Genomic DNA, 17921 nt, shown 5'->3' with positions numbered 1-17921 from the left:
AACTGGATTTTTGTTGTGCCTTCCAGGAGATACAAAAACAATTATAATTAATTATATATTTGTCTGTAAGGTGTTCTATAAAACTATAAGATGGTAGAAAATAGTTATTAATCACAAACACATCCAAAAGAGATTTACTTTCCTTTTTTATAGCAATTGCCAGTGTCATCTTAGTTGTTTCCAGGAACAGTTTTCTATGGTAGAAGCATGAGTTCATTTGCAATTTTGTGCCATGTTTTCCATTGCCATGGAAACTCACAATTTTCCTGATAAAGACTGGGCAAGTTGTGGGAGCAATCATGTAATCTAAACCTAAAACAAATGACTTCTGTATAATCAAAAGTTATTGTCTCCCATGGCTCATTGCTTAGCTGTAACCAGTCACAGAAAAAAAGATTCAAACAATACTCTTCCCTTCTCCAAACTTGCTTGATTTTTATCTGATGATGAGGCAAAACATTCTCAAGTAAAGAATAATGTTTCATTGACCTCTGTGTGGCTTTCCTACTAGAATCTGCCAGTAAGTTTTTATCATTTAGTATAAAATTTCATCAAATTTTCTTTTAAATTGAAGGGAAGAGTATTATTCTATAAGAAAGACTCAGGATATTGGTGTCTTTCCTGGCTTTTGTATTTTGATTTACAGCCCCTCCGTTTTCCTAGTTTATATATAAACTTGACTCATTGTATGAGTTTTCTGTTGTGACTATAACAAATTACTACAAACAGTGGCTTAATATAATAGCCACTTATTAGCTCATAGTTTCCATGGATCAGAAGTCCAGGCACAGTGTGCTTGGCTGTTTTCTCTGCACATGGTCTTATGAGGCCCAAATCAAGGTGTTGGCAGAACTGTGTTCATTACTAGAGGCTCTGGGAAAGAATCTGTTTGAAAGCTCATTCAGGATGTTGTCAGAATTTACTTTCTTCTCATGCTTTTCACATTGCCATTTCCATCTGCAAGGCATCGACAGTGAGTCAAGTCCTTTTCATGCTTCAAATCTCATTGGCTTCCTTTTTTTGCCACATTACCCTGCTTTTTAGGGCTCATGTAATTATATTGGGGCTAACTAGATAATCCAAAATAATCTCTTCATTTTAAGGTTAACTGATTAGTAACCTTAATTACATCTGCAAAATTTCTTTTTTTTCTTTTTTTTTTTTTTTGAGACGGAGTCTCTCTCTCTCTCTCTCGCCCAGGCTGTAGTGCAGTGGCACAATCTCGGCTCACTGCAACCTCCGCCTCCTGGGTTCACACCATCCTCCTGCCTCAGCCTCCCAAGTAGCTGGGACTACAGGTGCCCGCCACCACGCCCGGCTAATTTTTTGTATTTTTAGTAGAGGTGGGGTTTCACTGTGTTAGCCAGGATGGTCTTGATCTCCTGACCTCATGATCCGCCTGCCTCTGCCTCCCAAATTGCTGGGATTACAGGTGTGAGCCACCACGCCAGGCCAAAATTTCTTTTACCAACGTAACATACCCACAGGTATAATACCAAACAGTAAAGGTCATGAGGGCCAGAGTTCTGCCTATTACACTTACCCTGAAATATGAAAAAAGTAAAAAGCAATGATAAAAATTCCCATAAAAATTAGTAGATCTAACTGCATAAGATTGGAAAATTTTGAATGTCATAAAATAAGTAAGTTCAATGAATACAGTGGTACACATGTTTGCCATAAAACTAAAAATTGATATTCTCAAAACATTGGGAGTTCATGTAATTAACAAGAGGAAGTCTGACAGAAAAGTGGGCTGTCTGATTATGCATAGTCTAGTGTATCCTATCCCTGTATGCTGGCCAAAAATAATCCATCGAGATCAGTTTTGAGTGAGTGTATTCCTGAACCAATAATTCCAGCTATGAGGACAGAATATGCTGCAGACTTAAGCTAAGTATTTCATCCTCTGCTTAAAAATTTATAAGATGGCACTTCGGGGTAAAATTGGCAGAGTCATGCCAGATCATAGTCTCACTCTTTCTGAACCAGTAGGCACAAAAAACAATAATAACATAACACAGGAAACAATGAACCATAGACAAGCAAGGGCTAGCAATGTTTACTATCAATGCAATAAATTTCAAAATGTCTCAGACAAGAAAAAATAAAAACATAGGAATCTTAGTGCTGATCATAACTCAGCTTCTCTCCCTGTCCCCATCCAATCAACATAGGAAATGAGGGAAGAAGGTAAATTGGGAAAAATCTTTAAAACTATCTGTCTTAGGCTGATCCTTTTGAGAGGAAAAGGTGAGGCAAATATTGATATGTTAATATTTTGGGGGGAGGGCAGAATTCCACAACAGTTGGGGTATGGATAGGGGGAAGGGGAACTAAGACAAGATGCAGAATGGAATGCATGACTGTACTTGCCACCACTTTATGAGTTGCTGCAGTGACACGATAGTCAACAAGAGTCATATCTCTTGAAGTGTTGCCAAGAGTAAGTCCTTCTTGGCATAGTCCTTATTCCTCTGGCTTGCTGAGTGACCTGCTGTGCATCTTACGTTTTGTGAAGTGGTAGTGTGGCAATCACGTTGATTTTCTTATGCTTACTTTCCTTTTTTTTTTTTCCCTCTTCTTTTCCTGCCAAGGGCTTGCACCTCACAAATAAAATGTTATCACTTTAATTCTTGCTTCAGGGTATGCTTTCAGGAAAAAGTAGGTTACGACAATTGGTACCAAGCACAAGATTATAAAAACTAACCCTCATGATATAATTGTGAGTGAGTATGTTTATTCCTGAACCAATAACTCTGGCTAGAGGGACGGAATATGCTGTAGACTTAAGTTAAGCAAGACCTCTTCCTGGAACTGGGAGAAGGTCATTTCAGCCTTAGCCACCTGGCTTGAAAGTCCAAGGTCCTGTAGGAATGGAGAATGGAGGCTGACATGGTAATTAACAAATATTTTCTAATGATTTGCAAATAATTTTAGAAATATGTAGTCTCTCACTTCATCCCAGCATAACCATTATTTTCATGTTTTTCTTCCTTAAGTAAGTGCTTTATTTAGCATAGTTGTAAAATAACATGTTTTAAATTTTATATCATACCTTTTAATTTTGTCAAATCCTTGACAAATATTAACTACATAAAGTTACATTGAGTAGAATTTACCATAGTTTACATAACCTATCTTCTATTATTGAACATTTAGGTTACTCCTTCCTTATCATTTGCTTGTTTTGTTTTGCTTTATTTTCTATTAAATATGTTGGAAAGGAAGTATTTCTAAATGTTGTGAATTTTTATCTAAATGTCTCTATAAAATCATTTAATCTCATTGTCTATGTTTATCCCAATATAGCAACAAATTAAGAGATGGAATGTGCATATGTTTTATACCTGACTCTCTTACTGACTTCAGTATTTTTTCCTATTTGCTAATTTATTTAGAGTCAATCCAATTAAATGCTTAATGTTTTGCATATATGAAAAATGCCATGGTCCCCTCTAAGAACTTAGATGAAAGGGAGACTAACTTAGATGTAAGGGAGATTAACTTCTTAGAATTAAACCAATGAAATCTGTAGGTACAATGTACTCAGATACTTATTAATGCCTAATACAGGTACTTCTTGACTTATGATAGGGTTATGTGTCCTGATAAACCCATAGTGAGTTAAAAATATTGTAAGTTGAAAATGCATTTCATATACATAACCTACCAAACATTACAGCTTAGCCTAGCTGATATGGTTTGGCTGTATCCTCACCCAGAATCTCATCTTGAGTTGTTATCTCCATAAGCCCCATAATCCCCACGTGCCAAGGGAGAGACCAGGCAGAGGCAATTGAATCATGTGGGCAAGTTTCCCCCTTGCTGTTCTCATGATGAGTGAGTTCTCACAAGATCTGATGGTTTCATAAGTGGTAGTTCCTCCTGCATTTATTCTCCTTCCTTCCACCTTGTGAAGGAGGTGCTTTGCTTTGTCTTTACGTTTCGCCATGATTGTAAGTTTCCTGAGGTCTCCCCAGCCACGCTGAACTATGAGTTAATTAAACCTCTTTATTTTATAAATTAATCGGTCTCTGACAGTTTTTTATAGCAGTGTGAAAATGGACTAATACCCTAGTCTACCTTAAATGTGCTCAGAACATTTACATTAGCCTACAGTTAGACAAACTCATAGAACACAAAGACTTTTTACAATAAAGTGTGGAATATCTCATGTTATTTATTGAATGCCATATACTGTGTCAAAATAGTGACAGTTATACACCATCCTAAGATCAAAAATTCATGAGTTGAACCATTGTAAATCAGGGACTACTTGTAGAAGCAATGACAATTCTAAGCATTGTAAACTCAATAATAAACACAATGGATATAGGCCTGTTCTCATGAATAGATGTGATTAATAATTTCTGGAAGTAATTAAAAAGATTATTTACTAATGATTGAATCTAACATTGGAAAAAACTCTAAGCACCAATTACAATAAGATGCTTATAATTTTAGAAAGTAAAACTGAAAAGTTACTTAGATGTTATAATCTAATTGATTTTATTGCATTCAATTAGAAGATGAAATACGGGAAACAAAGAATTGAGATACCCCCAAATATAAAAGTAGTCAGTGTCTATTCCCCACTATATAGAGAAGAGATTTTGTTGCTGCATGGATTCTGGTAGTCTGGTCCTTATAAGAGGGAAATCTCTATTTGGAACATGGTGCCAAATTCATTTTGTTGTGATTTCTCACTATCTAATATTTCAACAATAGATTGATCTCCTGTGGTCTGATGACAGCACTGTTTTGGGTTTATCTTTCAGGCACACCTATTCGCCGAGGCATCACCTGGATCCTACAGAGTCAGGTAGGCTGGGTCAGCCATGCATGTTTGAAAAATGTCCTTAGGTCATTGTGTTTAAAATTGTGGATGAGATTTATTAAATAGGAAATGAAATGAAGTGGTTTGTAATGAACACATTTTTAAAAGGAAATAAAACATAATAGAAAATATCAGTATGTTGCATTGCTGACAGTAAGATATTTATGACAGTTTTGTGCTAACCCTTTTGGTCAATATTCTGGTTTTTCCATTTGTATTTGATTGTAACATTTGTCAGTCAACCAAGTTGTTAATTAAAAACCATCATGCCAGTTTCGTGAATGATTTATTAATTAATAGGTTATGAATTTTCCAGACTGGCTGGGCATGAACATCCTACAGAGTACTTCTTAAAAATTCAGATTTCTTGCATCCATTCTTGAATATTCCAATTCAGTTATTGGAGAGAAGCCTGGGAATCTGTTTTAACAAAGACCCCAGATGACTTTGATGTAACCAATTAAGTTGGATCTAAGTTTAGGAACCAAGTATTGGGTGATAAACTCATCACAAAGAAAACTCGTTTGTCTATTTATATGTGGCACTGGGGCATTTGGACCACCAATACTTAGGTATTTGCGGTATACCAATAAAGCTTCTGTGAGTTACCTGCCAAGTGTATGAAATTTCTCCAGGGATGTAAAATAAAAGTCCGTGATATGGAGAGAAAGATGGTGTTTCTCCTTAGAATGACATAATGCAAGACCAGTTTTCTCAGGACTTGGTAATGTTAGCATGATGTTTCTTGTGTTTTTATAAATAGCCACCTGGGAATGTATCAGAATATGTGAATTCCCAAAGGTGGATATCTCGGTTGGAAATAACTGAAATGATAAGCTAAGTGAAACTGTTAGAGAACAGGCATACCTATAAGTTAAAAAAGAAAGAAAAGAAAAGTTTTCTACTGAAATGATCAAGTTGCCGTGGGAACCTAAAGGCTCAGTTACCATATTTGAATGCATAACACTGTAAATTTTTTTAATGAACACCAAAACTGGCTGAAGATCAGTTCAGTGAAAGTAGTTTACTCTACTTTCAGAATGGTAACGCCTTTCAAAAAGAAAAACACAAATTATTTAACTCTAGATAGTTATTTAAAGGAGAGATTTTGATAAACCTCTAAAATTGCAAATAACTTTTGGTTTTGAAGCTTAAGCTAGAATATGAAGGGATCTTTGTTCATGTGAATGTTTATTTCTAATAATCTAGAGTCGGGGTGTCCGATCTTTTAGCTTCTGTGGGCCACATTGGAAGAAGAAGAATTGTCTTGGGCCACACATAAAATACACTAACACTAACAATAGCTGAAGAGATTTCTTAAAAAATCACAAAAAAAGTCTCATCAGGTTTTAAGAAAGTTTACGAATTTGTGTTGGGTTCCATTCATAGCTATCCTGGGCCACATGCGGCCCACAGGCCATTGGTTGGATAAACTTGATTTAGATCCTGCTGTATAGAATCTATCAAAGAGGGGTGATATTTAAAATGTTTAACACTGTGAGTAATTGTAATGGCTGTTGTTCTGGGAGTAGGCATTAACCCATTGTTTGGTGGATTATGAGAAAGTTCTGGGAATCATAGGAGGCTTGTTGTGGGTGGGATGGACAACACAGAAAATTCAAACAGCAAATATTTCCCAATTGGTATAAAATTATTTCAGAATTTTAACACATATACATTCAGTGTGTACTGTCTGACTTCCAGCAAGGCTTCAAAGGAACTTTTGAGCTTTTGATTTCAGATTGAAACTTGTGATAGTGAGGTAGCAATTAGATGTTTCTAGGGAGGCCATAGATGCTGCTAGAATAGCAAATATAGAACTGCATGAGATGATAAAGGTGATTGTCCAATGGACAAAGGAACTGGGCTGTATTGAACAAAGTATTGCTCTGTTCATTGAGGATATCATTGATACATGCATATAAACACACATATAGGTTCACATGTTTATACATATCTAGATATGTATAAACTATACATATCTAGATATGTATAAACTATACATATCTAGATATGTATAAACTATACATATCTAGATATGTATAAACTATACATATCTAGATATGTATAAACTATACATATCTAGATATGTATAAACTATACATATCTAGATATGTATAAACTATACATATCTAGATATGCAAATATAGTCGTGCATAGGCAAAACATTGGAGTCTCAAGGAATGAGAAATGTTTCTTTCCAAAAATTAAGTATGTCCATTTGCTTTGTCAAAATTTCTTCACCACAAGATAGATAATTCAGTCTAATTTTATAATTTTAAAATGATTTTTAGTAACTAAACTAATTAGGTTATTGCTATTATATCCATTAAAATAGGCTTGACTTGGTTAGTTCCAGAAGCTACCTGTAGCGGTGGAGGGCCAGCCAGGTGTTATCTCTGCCTTTTCTACCAAAGGGTACAGGTTATGGTCCAGCAACCACCCAGCCAGGGAGCAGCACCCCAATTACCTCTTCTGGCTTCAACACAATCAAAATAGCAAGAGGGGTCTCCCCTTTCCAGCAAGGACAGATATAGTTGCCTAGTCACAAACTCTGGGTCCCCCAAACGTACCCTCTTCCTCTCTCTAGGCCTCTTTGTATCAAGTGGGGAGGGGGAGGTTGTGATCATTCTTCTAAACTTGAACTGGCAGCTGATGAAAAAATGAGCGCCCTCAAATACAATTAAAAAAAATTCAAGTCATAACAAGGTAATTTTGCACCCATTATATTGGCGAAAATTATAACAATGGTTATATTTAATGTAAATAAAACATGCTATATATAACAGCTTAGTTACAATATAATTTTACTTAATATAGTATATATATAAAGTAATTTTAAATATATTTACAGTGTGGAGTTTCAGATACATTTATTCATTCCAGTGGCAGTGAAAATTGGTGTAATTTCTTTGGAGAAAGCTTCAGCAATATCTTTTAAAAGTGATTAGAAGATGCATACTTCTTTGGACCCTACATTTTCATTGCTAGGAATTTACCATTCATGCACAGTGGACAAGTAAAAGAGTCTTTATAGACTTGCTTTGGTTTTCCAGTTTCTCTAGAACCATGCAGGGTGCACATAGTCTCATTTCTCTCTTTCGGAATGTGTCAGTCACATGCTCCTTTATTTTTCCAATTACTTAGCAGTAACTTTTTTTTTTGTGATAGCAATTGTCTTACTGAGTACTTCTGGGCTGTGTGTATTTTGCTTATATTAACTCAGTTAATCCTCACACCAGTGAAAATTGTATTTTACTTTATTGTGCAGAGCAGTACTAGTTTCTTTCATTTGCAGTTCTTTCCTTCTACCTTATAAATGGTATGATTCGTGAATTGCTGGCATTTAAAATTATGCCCAATCTTGACCCATAGACCATATAATACGTACTCCCTAACACCCAGTGATACATTTACTTTTGAAAGACTTTGCTTTAGTCCTTAGCCAAGGCCTATTCTTGTCCACAGTCTGAGGAGGCAAAGGGTTGGGTAAGTGGTTGAGTTGCATAGTTTCTATTACAGATATAAGAAGGAATATTCTGGAAGTGGGTGAATTGTTTGCACTTGACCTGACTAAGTACATACGGAAATAAAACGTGGTAAATATGCAAGACCTCCCTCACACATCCAATAAAGACGCACTTCCTAAGACCCCTTGTCTTGGAGTGTCTTGCTGCTGGCCATACCCTGCTGCCTGGGATTTTCACAGGATACAATAATTTTAGAGTCAATTGAGGCTTTGGAAGCCTCTAAAACTAGTTACATGTTACGTGAAAGATGTTAAATAATTTTGATTTATAAACTTTATATTAAAAATTGAGCTATCAATTTCTTTAAAGCAAAGAGGGATTCATGGAGATGGGAAGATAACTTTTATTTTGGTGGTAGAAAATAGAAGTGTGCCCAAGTCTAGTGTTCTCAGCATCCTGGGCATTATGAAAGTAAAGAGGGATGGTATGAGGACACTCTGTACTTGCAACAGGGCCAAAGGACCACAGAAAATACGCCTCATGATTTAATGACAAGTTGACCCTACATATGCTTGTATGGACTGTATGTTCAGTTTATTTGAACCTGTATTTCTTTAGATGCCCAAGCAAGATTACATAAGTTGTCATGGAAAAAATTTTGTTAATTTCAGAATGCATGCCTATTGGTTTCTTCTTTAACCTTCTACTATTTGCTCTAATGTAAGAAATTATTTTTTGAAATCTAGAGATATATATTATATATATTCAAATAGCTAGAAGAGAGGATATTGAATGTTCCCAACACAAAAAAAGATAAATGTTTGATGTGCTAATTATCATAGATATGCTAATTATCCTGATCTGACCACTGTTAATGGAAAAACCAAACTCTGCAAAATATTTTAAAGAGGCTTCTTCCAAGTCAGTATGAGTGACTGTGGCCTGGGGAAAACATAAACCCAAAGAGTCTTGAATAAGTTGTCCCAAGGTGGTTGAGCTACAGTTTGGTTTTACACATTTTAGGGAGGCAGGAGTTACAGGCAGGGACCAAAATCAATATGTGGAATGTGTATGTTGGATTGGCCTCTAAAGGCTGGACATCTTGAAGTGGAAGCTTATAGGTTACAGGTGGATTCAGAGATTCTTTAATTTTCAATTGGTTAAAGGAGTAAGATTCTGTCTAAAACTTGGAGCCAATAGAAAGAAATGTTTTAGATTAATATAAGGATGCTGGATATTAGATATTAGACCTTTGTAGAATACATAGTTTGTGAATATTTTCTTATATTTCTAAGGTTGTCTGTTTACTCTGTTGATAGTTTCTTTTGCTGTGCAGGAGCTCTTTCATTTGATTAGGTCCCACTTGCCAATTTTTGTTTTGTTGCAATTACTTTTAAGGACTTAGTCATAATTTTTTTTCCCAAAGGCCAGTATCCAGCATGGGGTTTCCAAGGTTTTCTTCTAAGATTATTATAGTATGAGGTCTTACATTTAAATGTTCACTCCTTCTTGAGTTAATTTTTTTGGATATGGTGAAAGGAAGGTCTAATATGCAGAATCTATAAGGAACTTAAATAATTCAACGAGCAAAAAACAAAAACAAACCCATTAAAAGTCAGAAAAGATGTGAACAGATATTTGTCAAAAGACATACAAGCAGCCAATGAACATGAGAAAAATACTCAGCATCACTAATCATCAGTGAAATGCAAATCATAACCACAATGAGATACCATCTCACAGCAGTCAGAATGGCAGTTCTTAAAAAGACAAAAAACAACAGATGCAGGTGAGGTTGTGTAAGAAAACTTATACAGTGTTGCTGTGAATGCAAACTAGTTCAGCCGCTGTGAAAAGAAGTTTGAAGATTTCTCAAAGAACTTGTCAATCGAGAAAAATGATGAGAAAAGTCTCAATCGTTTTAGGAGTTTTATTTGCCAAAGTTAAGGATGTACACCTGGGAGACAGGTCTATGCCTTTCTCTGACGATGATTTTGAGGGCTCCAAATTTAAAGGGGAAAGGGTAGGGTATTGAGAAGTACACAATTTTCATGTGAGAGGAGGATAGGGAAAAATAGTCATTCTTGCCTTTGTCTGGCTCAGTGAATCTGTATTTTTTTACAAAAGATGGCATAAACAAATGGGGCAGAGGAAAAATGTGGGGAATCTGCCTTTTTACAAAAGATAACGTAGAAAAATGGGGCAGGGGAAAAATCAGATATGCATTTGTGTTTGGGCAGTGGGGGTGACTGCACCTGTAAAGATAAGTTATCAACTTACATTGCCATGGTGAAATATTAATAGAAACACCTTAGGGTAAAGATCTTGCAGCTCTGTAGGAATTTCCTTGTGGGAAAAATAGGGAGGAAGAGTGTAGCTTTTCGTCTTGTAGCCATCTTATTTAGGAACCGAAAGGGGGAGGCAGGTTTGCATGACCCAGTTCCCAGCTTAACTTTTCCCTTTGGCTTAATGAGTTTGGGGTCCCAAGATTTAGTTACCTGTCACAAACCTAGAACTACCATTTGTCCCAGCAGTCCCATTTCTGGTTATATACCCAAAGGAAAATATATGATTCTACCAAAGAGACACATGTACTCGTATGTTCATCACAGTACTATGCAAAATAGCAAAGACATGGAATCAACCTAGGTGCCCATCAGCAGTGGATTGGATAAAGAAAATGAGGTACATATATGCCATGGAATACTACACAGCCATGAAAAGAACAAAATCATGTCCTTTGCAGCAACATAGATGCAGCTGGGGCCAACATTATAAGCACATTAACACAGTGAATCTAAAATAAAAGTTGAAATTATTTTTAACAAGATAAGGATGCTACGTAGCCAAACTGATGGTCTGCATTTGTGACTTGACCCTTGTCTTGCATGGCCTTAGGTCTTATTTATAATTCAGAGAATCAGTTCTTTTTAGTTTTATGGTCTCTGTTTTAGTGTTAATGCTGATCAGTTGTTGTGCCTGAACTCTGAAAGGGAGAGAGTATAACCAGGCAAATCCCACTTCCATTCCCATCATGGCCAAGAATTCAGGTTTTAGATTTTTTCTGGGGTCCTCTTGGCCAAGAGGGGTCTGTTCAGTTGGTTGAGGCTTAGGATTTTATTTTTAGTTTACACCACTGTCCATTGTATATGTAGAAACATCACCATGTACCCCACATCCATGTACAATTATGTATCAATTAAAAGAATAAGAATTGGCTGGGCACCGTGGCTCACACCTATAATTCCAACACTTTAGGAGGCCGAGGTGTGCTGATCACTTGAGCTTAGGAGTTCAAGACTAGCCTGGGCAACATGCCAAAAACCCATCTCTACCCAAAATACAATAAATTAGCTGGGCACAATAGCTCACACCTGTAATCTCAACACTTTGGGAGGCGAAGGTGGGCGGATCACTTGAACTCAGGAGTTTCAGACCAGCCTGGGCAACATTGTGAAACCCCATCTCTACCAAAAATACAAAAAATTAACTGGGCTTGGTGGCACACGCTACTCAAGGGGCTGAGGTGGGAGGATCGCTTGAGCCCAGGAGGCGGAGGTTTAAGTAAGCCGAGATCTCACCACTGAACTCCAGCCTGGGTGGCAGAGTGAGACCCCATCTCAAAATAATAATAATAATAATAATAATAATAATAATAATATAATAATAATAATAATAATGAATTCTAAAGACAAAATTTAAGAATAAAGATTTATTTTAAAAGATAAGCTATTATTTTCACTTACAATGCAGGATGAATGAACCTTCTTAGATTCACTTTACATGTCTAATATTTCTCAATGCATACAATTCAATTTTGAGTTACCTGTTAGGACATTATTTCTGAATAAAAGATTTGAAATTGAATGTTACAGGTCACAGATCAGTATTTATGTAGCCATTTTATGCTTCAGAAAGCTAGCTTCTTAGAATACTTGATTACCAAATGATATTGTGTACAAAAACATATAAATGTGAGTGCTAGAAGTTGTTTCAGTGCTGGGAGAGAAGAAATAAATTGCATAGTCTAGAGATGAGACATAAAAAGCAAAATCAGTATCAGTTATTTAAAAAGAATCCATTTACTTCTTTTAAACTGTATTGTTAGCCAAAAAAGTAAATGTACTAAAACATGAGTCATATAATAGCCACGGGAAAGTTGGTTTCCCTAGTCCAAACCCTTTTAAATAAGTGATTTATAAAATAATTGCTACAGAGAAGATGCTGCAGTGGTGTATTGCTGGTGTCTATGTGAGTGAAGTATTGCAGAATATCTCCTGTGGATATGAGTTACAGGGTTAATACATCCACACATGAACAAAGAGACCACAGGTAAGAAAGGAACTAAGTTGGCATATGGAAACAACAAAAAACTAAAATAAAATCGCTTGCTGATTTCAGTTTGTGTTGAAAAGTCTTTGGCTATGGCTAGTTACACCAAAAGTATAATAAAATAACTTATTTTTCCTGACAGAGTATTTTATGCTTCTGGGAGCTGTGTTGGACAATTCACAGGTGTGTTAATATATAGCGTGATGCAACCTCAATCTTAAATTTGGCCAGGTTTTTGCTGGCATGATCTTTGAAGATTTTGCTGCCAAAATCTATTTGATGAATAAAATAAGTTTAAAAGTGCCAAAGGAGGAAAACAAACAAATACACATATATGTATATAAAATCAGTATCATAAAATGGCAAGCACCTCATTTGCATTGAAGTTCCTCTAGGTTTTATCACATGCTATAGAGGAGAGCTATAAAGTGGTTTTCTTTGTTGTCATTTTGGGAGATTTGGTGAATGAGAGTTATGGATTTAGAAACTCCTGAAACATAGGGGGAAATGTTAAAAAATGGGGAAAGAATAAACAGCTGAAGTGATTTTAACAGACTGTTTGGGTAGATGTTTGCATTTGAAAATAGAAGAGAAGACAAGCTCCAAAAGTCCTTCAGAGTAAGGCAGCTTCTGAATACAGGGCAAAAGTTTGGTGTTTAGTCGTGGGTCTTCTTCTAACTATCTGAGTGCTCTTCTTAATCCTTTGTTTCTGAAAATGAAATTGGTTTTATCTGGTAAACTGACTTGAACAGTATCCTCCCAAAATTCACATTCTTTGGAAACCTTAGAATGTGACCTTAGGAAATAGAGCCTTTGCAGATGTAGTCAAGGTAAGACACATTCATATTGCATTAGGATAGATCCTAATCCTATGACTTTTGTCCTTAAGAGAGAAATTTAGACATTGACACTCAGAGAGAAGGTCATGTAAAGACAGAGAGATTGAAAGTGATGCACCCAATAGCCAAGGAACACCAAACACTGCCAGCAACCACCAGAAACTAAGAGAGAGACATGGAACAGATTGTCCCTCAGAGCTTCCAGAATGAAACAACCTTGACAACACTTTGATTTTGGACTTCTGGCCTCTCAAACTGTGAGAAAATACATTTCTGTTGTCTTCAGCCACTAAGTTTGTAGTACTTTGTTACAATAGTCCTAGGAAACTTATATACCTAGTTTACAAACAGAGTAGAAACTTAAAATGACATTTCAAAAGCTAGTATAGGAATAATCTTTTATATAAAGAGTCTTACAAGAAACATCAGAAAGTGAGCACAAGCAAGAATACATTTTAAATATTTATAATTATCCTTTAGGGATTAAGATTCCCCAATGTTTTACAAGCATAATTTTGGAAGGAGGCTTCCATTCAGCTTCCCATTTATCACAAACCTTTATTGAAATCCTAAGAATGCAGAGAGATGCATGTGGTTGCATTAAGCAGCTCGAAAACCTGGCAGGTGAGGCTGCAAACTTTATCAAGATAAATTTTATCTTCATGGATCTCTGTTACATGAGGATTAATGTCACATACTAGGCATATATTACTTTTCCAACTCTAATGTCAATAAGAATGCAAATACAAGAAAGAGCAAGTAGAGCTTTAATCTAAGAAATGAAGATTTATAATAAAGGTATTTTTTAAGCTCCTTGGAAACTGACTTTCCACTCCTAAGCATTGGGATGGAAATGCTGAAATTATACCATAGCGTAATTCTTTTTAGCTCGACTTCTATTTAGGGAAGGAGATAAATAACACATTGCTTTTTAATATAAATGATATACTAACTACTGTTTCTCTGTTTACCTTTGGGCAAATGATTGCAATGGCCGGACAATTATCTTTTTTCCCCATTTTGTTGGTATATTACTGGGTTATGAAAGAGAAACCAAATTAACTAGAAAAGGTCAAAATTTTGGTCACAGGTATCTCTCTGACTTCCCTAATTTCTTTCTGCCTCATTGCCTATAAGAAGACATTTTTATCTGGAATTGAAGAGGGTCTGCAAGGACCTGCAAAGATTAGCAATCCTGCCTCTTTGGAACTTCACCTTTTTCAGGAAGATATGAAAGAATCCTGACTTCCTGAGGAATAGAAGATCATTGATTTGGATGTAGAACAAACATGCCTCCTAGAGTAGGTGTGTTATTCTTGGTGCCTGAAAGCAGATCAGAAAAAGACAATATTAAGGGCCCTCTTTTTCCAATGAATGAATATGGCATTTAAATCAAGGATGGCATGGAATGGATATTTATATAAATTTGTTTTAAATAATTTCTGTGACTTTGTAGTTTGAGCTGGGTTTAAATATTGATATAATTTGAGGACATCTGAATGTTTCCCCTGGACCACAGTTCCTTAACCCAACACTTGACTTGCTGGTCATTACTGATGATATTGCTAGCACTGGATGTGGTTATAGGATTTAAGTGAAATGTTCTTCAAACTTCAAATTTCTGCTGGTTTTTTTTTTTTTCGCCAAGTATCCACTGGAACACAGCTGAATCGATCAGTCTTAATACCTAGAAGAATACCTGTCTCAGATAATTTAGTGGTTCTACAAACATAGACTTGTGCTTTTAAATTCCCCAGTCAACAGTAATTGAATGAATCAATCAATCTTTGAATCCATGGAGGAAAAAGTTTTGAGGATTTTAAGGTCGTATCTATTCCAAACAGATTTTAGGAGATATTGAAGGAAAGACTGAAAAAGACATAAAAATAGACCCTTGGAAGTTGTATGCCCTTACAAGTGAGATCAGGTCAGAATATATCATGAGTATTCACCACATAAGTTCATTAAAAGAAAGATAAATACAGTCTCAAAAGATTTCATCTAATTAATTAGCAAAATAGTCTTAAAAAGGAGACATTTAAAGTAATTTATACAATGTATATTGAGAAAATATTCAAGAAGAGTACGTGATGCAAAGTCAGAAAGTTGAGTCAAATCTTACTAGTATTAATGGAATGTTTAGATACATAATTTCTATTGAATACTTTTAAAAAAATTCATTTTGCTTGTCAAACTCTCTCAATTTTCCACTTGCCTAGTTTGGGTAAGTATGATAGAAGAAAATAATCCAAATGAAAATGTAGAATGGCAGAATTACAGAGTTTAAAATAATTTAGAAATCAATTTATGACATTCATTTCTAGTAATGTTGTGGATTAGGAACCTGAGTAGACATCTACTGGAGAAAGAACAATCCTGAATAAATATTAATGACCTTAAATAAACTGAAGAGTTGCAGGAAAGCAAGGAATTCTCAGGTTGAAAAAACTAATCAAAGGCAGAAATCCAGAGAAACAATCAAACAAACAAACAAACAAACTCATAAGCGTATTTACTGGGCCTGAGAAGTTGGGCTGCGTTTTGAAGGACTCTCAAGGTCTAGTGGAAAAAAGTATCCAAGGCCTATGTAAGGTATGAAATCTATTAGGTTGGTGCAAAAGTAATTGCAATTACTTTTGCATCAACCCAATACTATGAATCTTTACTTCATAAAACTAAAGTGTGCATAACAGTGATCCAGAAATAATCTCTGCCACACTCAAGTAGGACTACTGCAGGAGAAATCAGCTAGCACAAAATATGGGACTGAGATGAAGGGGAAAATATCATGAGTGAACATCTGGAAACACCAGCTTGACCTCATGCAGTTTTGCAGCCTAAATTTGTTACCTTTGAGATATAAAACTTTGCATTAAATGAAAATAGATGTTGACTAATAGTTCCACAGGCAATTGGAAGACGTGAATATAGTTCTTAAAGGATCTTAAGCCTCGAATGTTTCCCAAACACAGGAAAACAAAGTACTATGAGCAAGAACCAGCAGAAAAAGACCTTCAAAGTCTTCAGATGTTATAATTTTCAGGTACAAATTATAAAATACCTATGCTTGTCAGGTTTAAAGAAATGAAAGATAAACTTACAGTTGTGTGAATGGGACAAACAATAAAGAATGATAAAATATATTTGTTGAAGAACCAAATAGAAGTACAAATAATAACACTAAAAATTAAAATACAATGTAAGAGGGAAAAACTATAGAACTGAAACAAAAATAATAAACTAAAAATTAGGCATAAGGTTAAAAAGCTTGCATGATTTAGCAAAAGGAGATAAAAATATGGAACATATTATAAAGGGTTAAGGGGCATAGAGGATACAGTGTGAATGTCTACCATATGTGTAAATGGAGTTGTAGAGGACATAAGATAAAGAGTGGGCAGAGACAGTATTTGAAAAATATAATATCAGAAAAAAAATTCAAGAACTAATAAATGCACAAACTCTTAATTGCAAGATGCAGCCTCCCACCCAAAGCAGATTAAATTTTTAAAAAGTTTAGTCAAAACAACAAATATAAAAATATGATTTTAAAAGCAGACATTGAGTTCGAAAGAGACAGAACTACATCTAACTTCTTATTAGCAACAGTGGAAGGCAAAAGACAGTGGAATGATGTACCAAGAGAAAGTAGCTATCATTCTAAAATTGTATAACCAGCAAAAAATGTCTTTCAAGAATGACAGTGCAATAAAGACATTTACCAATAAGAGAAACTGAAGAGAACATTTTGCCACCAGACTTCCACTAAAAGAAACCTCAATGGATGTACTTGAGGCAGACAGAAAATGATGCAAGATGGAAGGTCAGAGATCCAATACAAAAATAAAAAAGTACAGAAAGCAGCAAGTGTGTGTTCAAATTTCTGTGAGCACGTACTGTACAAACCATGAATACTAATGTCAATTCCAAGTGAATTAAAAACCTAAACCTAAAACCAAAATCTATAGAGCTTTCAAAAGTTAATGTCCAAGGACATCTTCATGATCAAATTATAGAGAATCTGGATTAAGAAAATGTGGCACATATACACCATGGAATACTATGCAGCCATAAAAAATGATGAGTTCATGTCCTTTGTAGGGACATGGATGAAATTGGAAACCATCATTCTCAGTAAACTATCGCAAGAACAAAAAACCAAACACCGCATATTCTCACTCATAGGTGGGAATTGAACAATGAGATCACATGGACACAGGAAGGGGAATATCACACTCTGGGGACTGTGGTGGGGAGAGGGGAGGGGGGAGGGATAGCATTGGGAGATATACCTAATGCTAGATGACGAGTTAGTGGGTGCAGCGCACCAGCATGGCACATGTATACATATGTAACTAACCTGCACAATGTGCACATGTACCCTAAAACTTAAAGTATAATTAAAAAAAAAAAATTAAACAATGTTTATAAATAATTACA

At 35.5% G+C, this 17921-nt stretch overlaps 1 protein-coding gene across 1 annotated transcript in view; it reads left to right on the top strand.

The window, feature by feature from the left end:
• Window positions 1-1276: 1276 nt before the first annotated feature.
• The window catches only part of LOC124904304 (uncharacterized), a 266099-nt gene continuing 249454 nt past the window's right edge, over window positions 1277-17921 (top strand). The window contains exons 1-2 of the transcript XR_007066375.1: window positions 1277-1298; window positions 4782-4825. The gene's annotated coding sequence lies outside the window, so the exon portion shown is untranslated. The remainder of the gene's footprint in view (window positions 1299-4781; window positions 4826-17921) is intronic.

Source organism: Homo sapiens, chromosome 18 (assembly GCF_000001405.40).
Source record: "Homo sapiens chromosome 18, GRCh38.p14 Primary Assembly".
NCBI classification, from domain to species: Eukaryota; Metazoa; Chordata; class Mammalia; order Primates; family Hominidae; genus Homo; species Homo sapiens.
The sequence above is the reverse complement of the archived record's forward strand: the minus strand, read 5'-3'. Positions and strand labels throughout refer to the sequence as shown.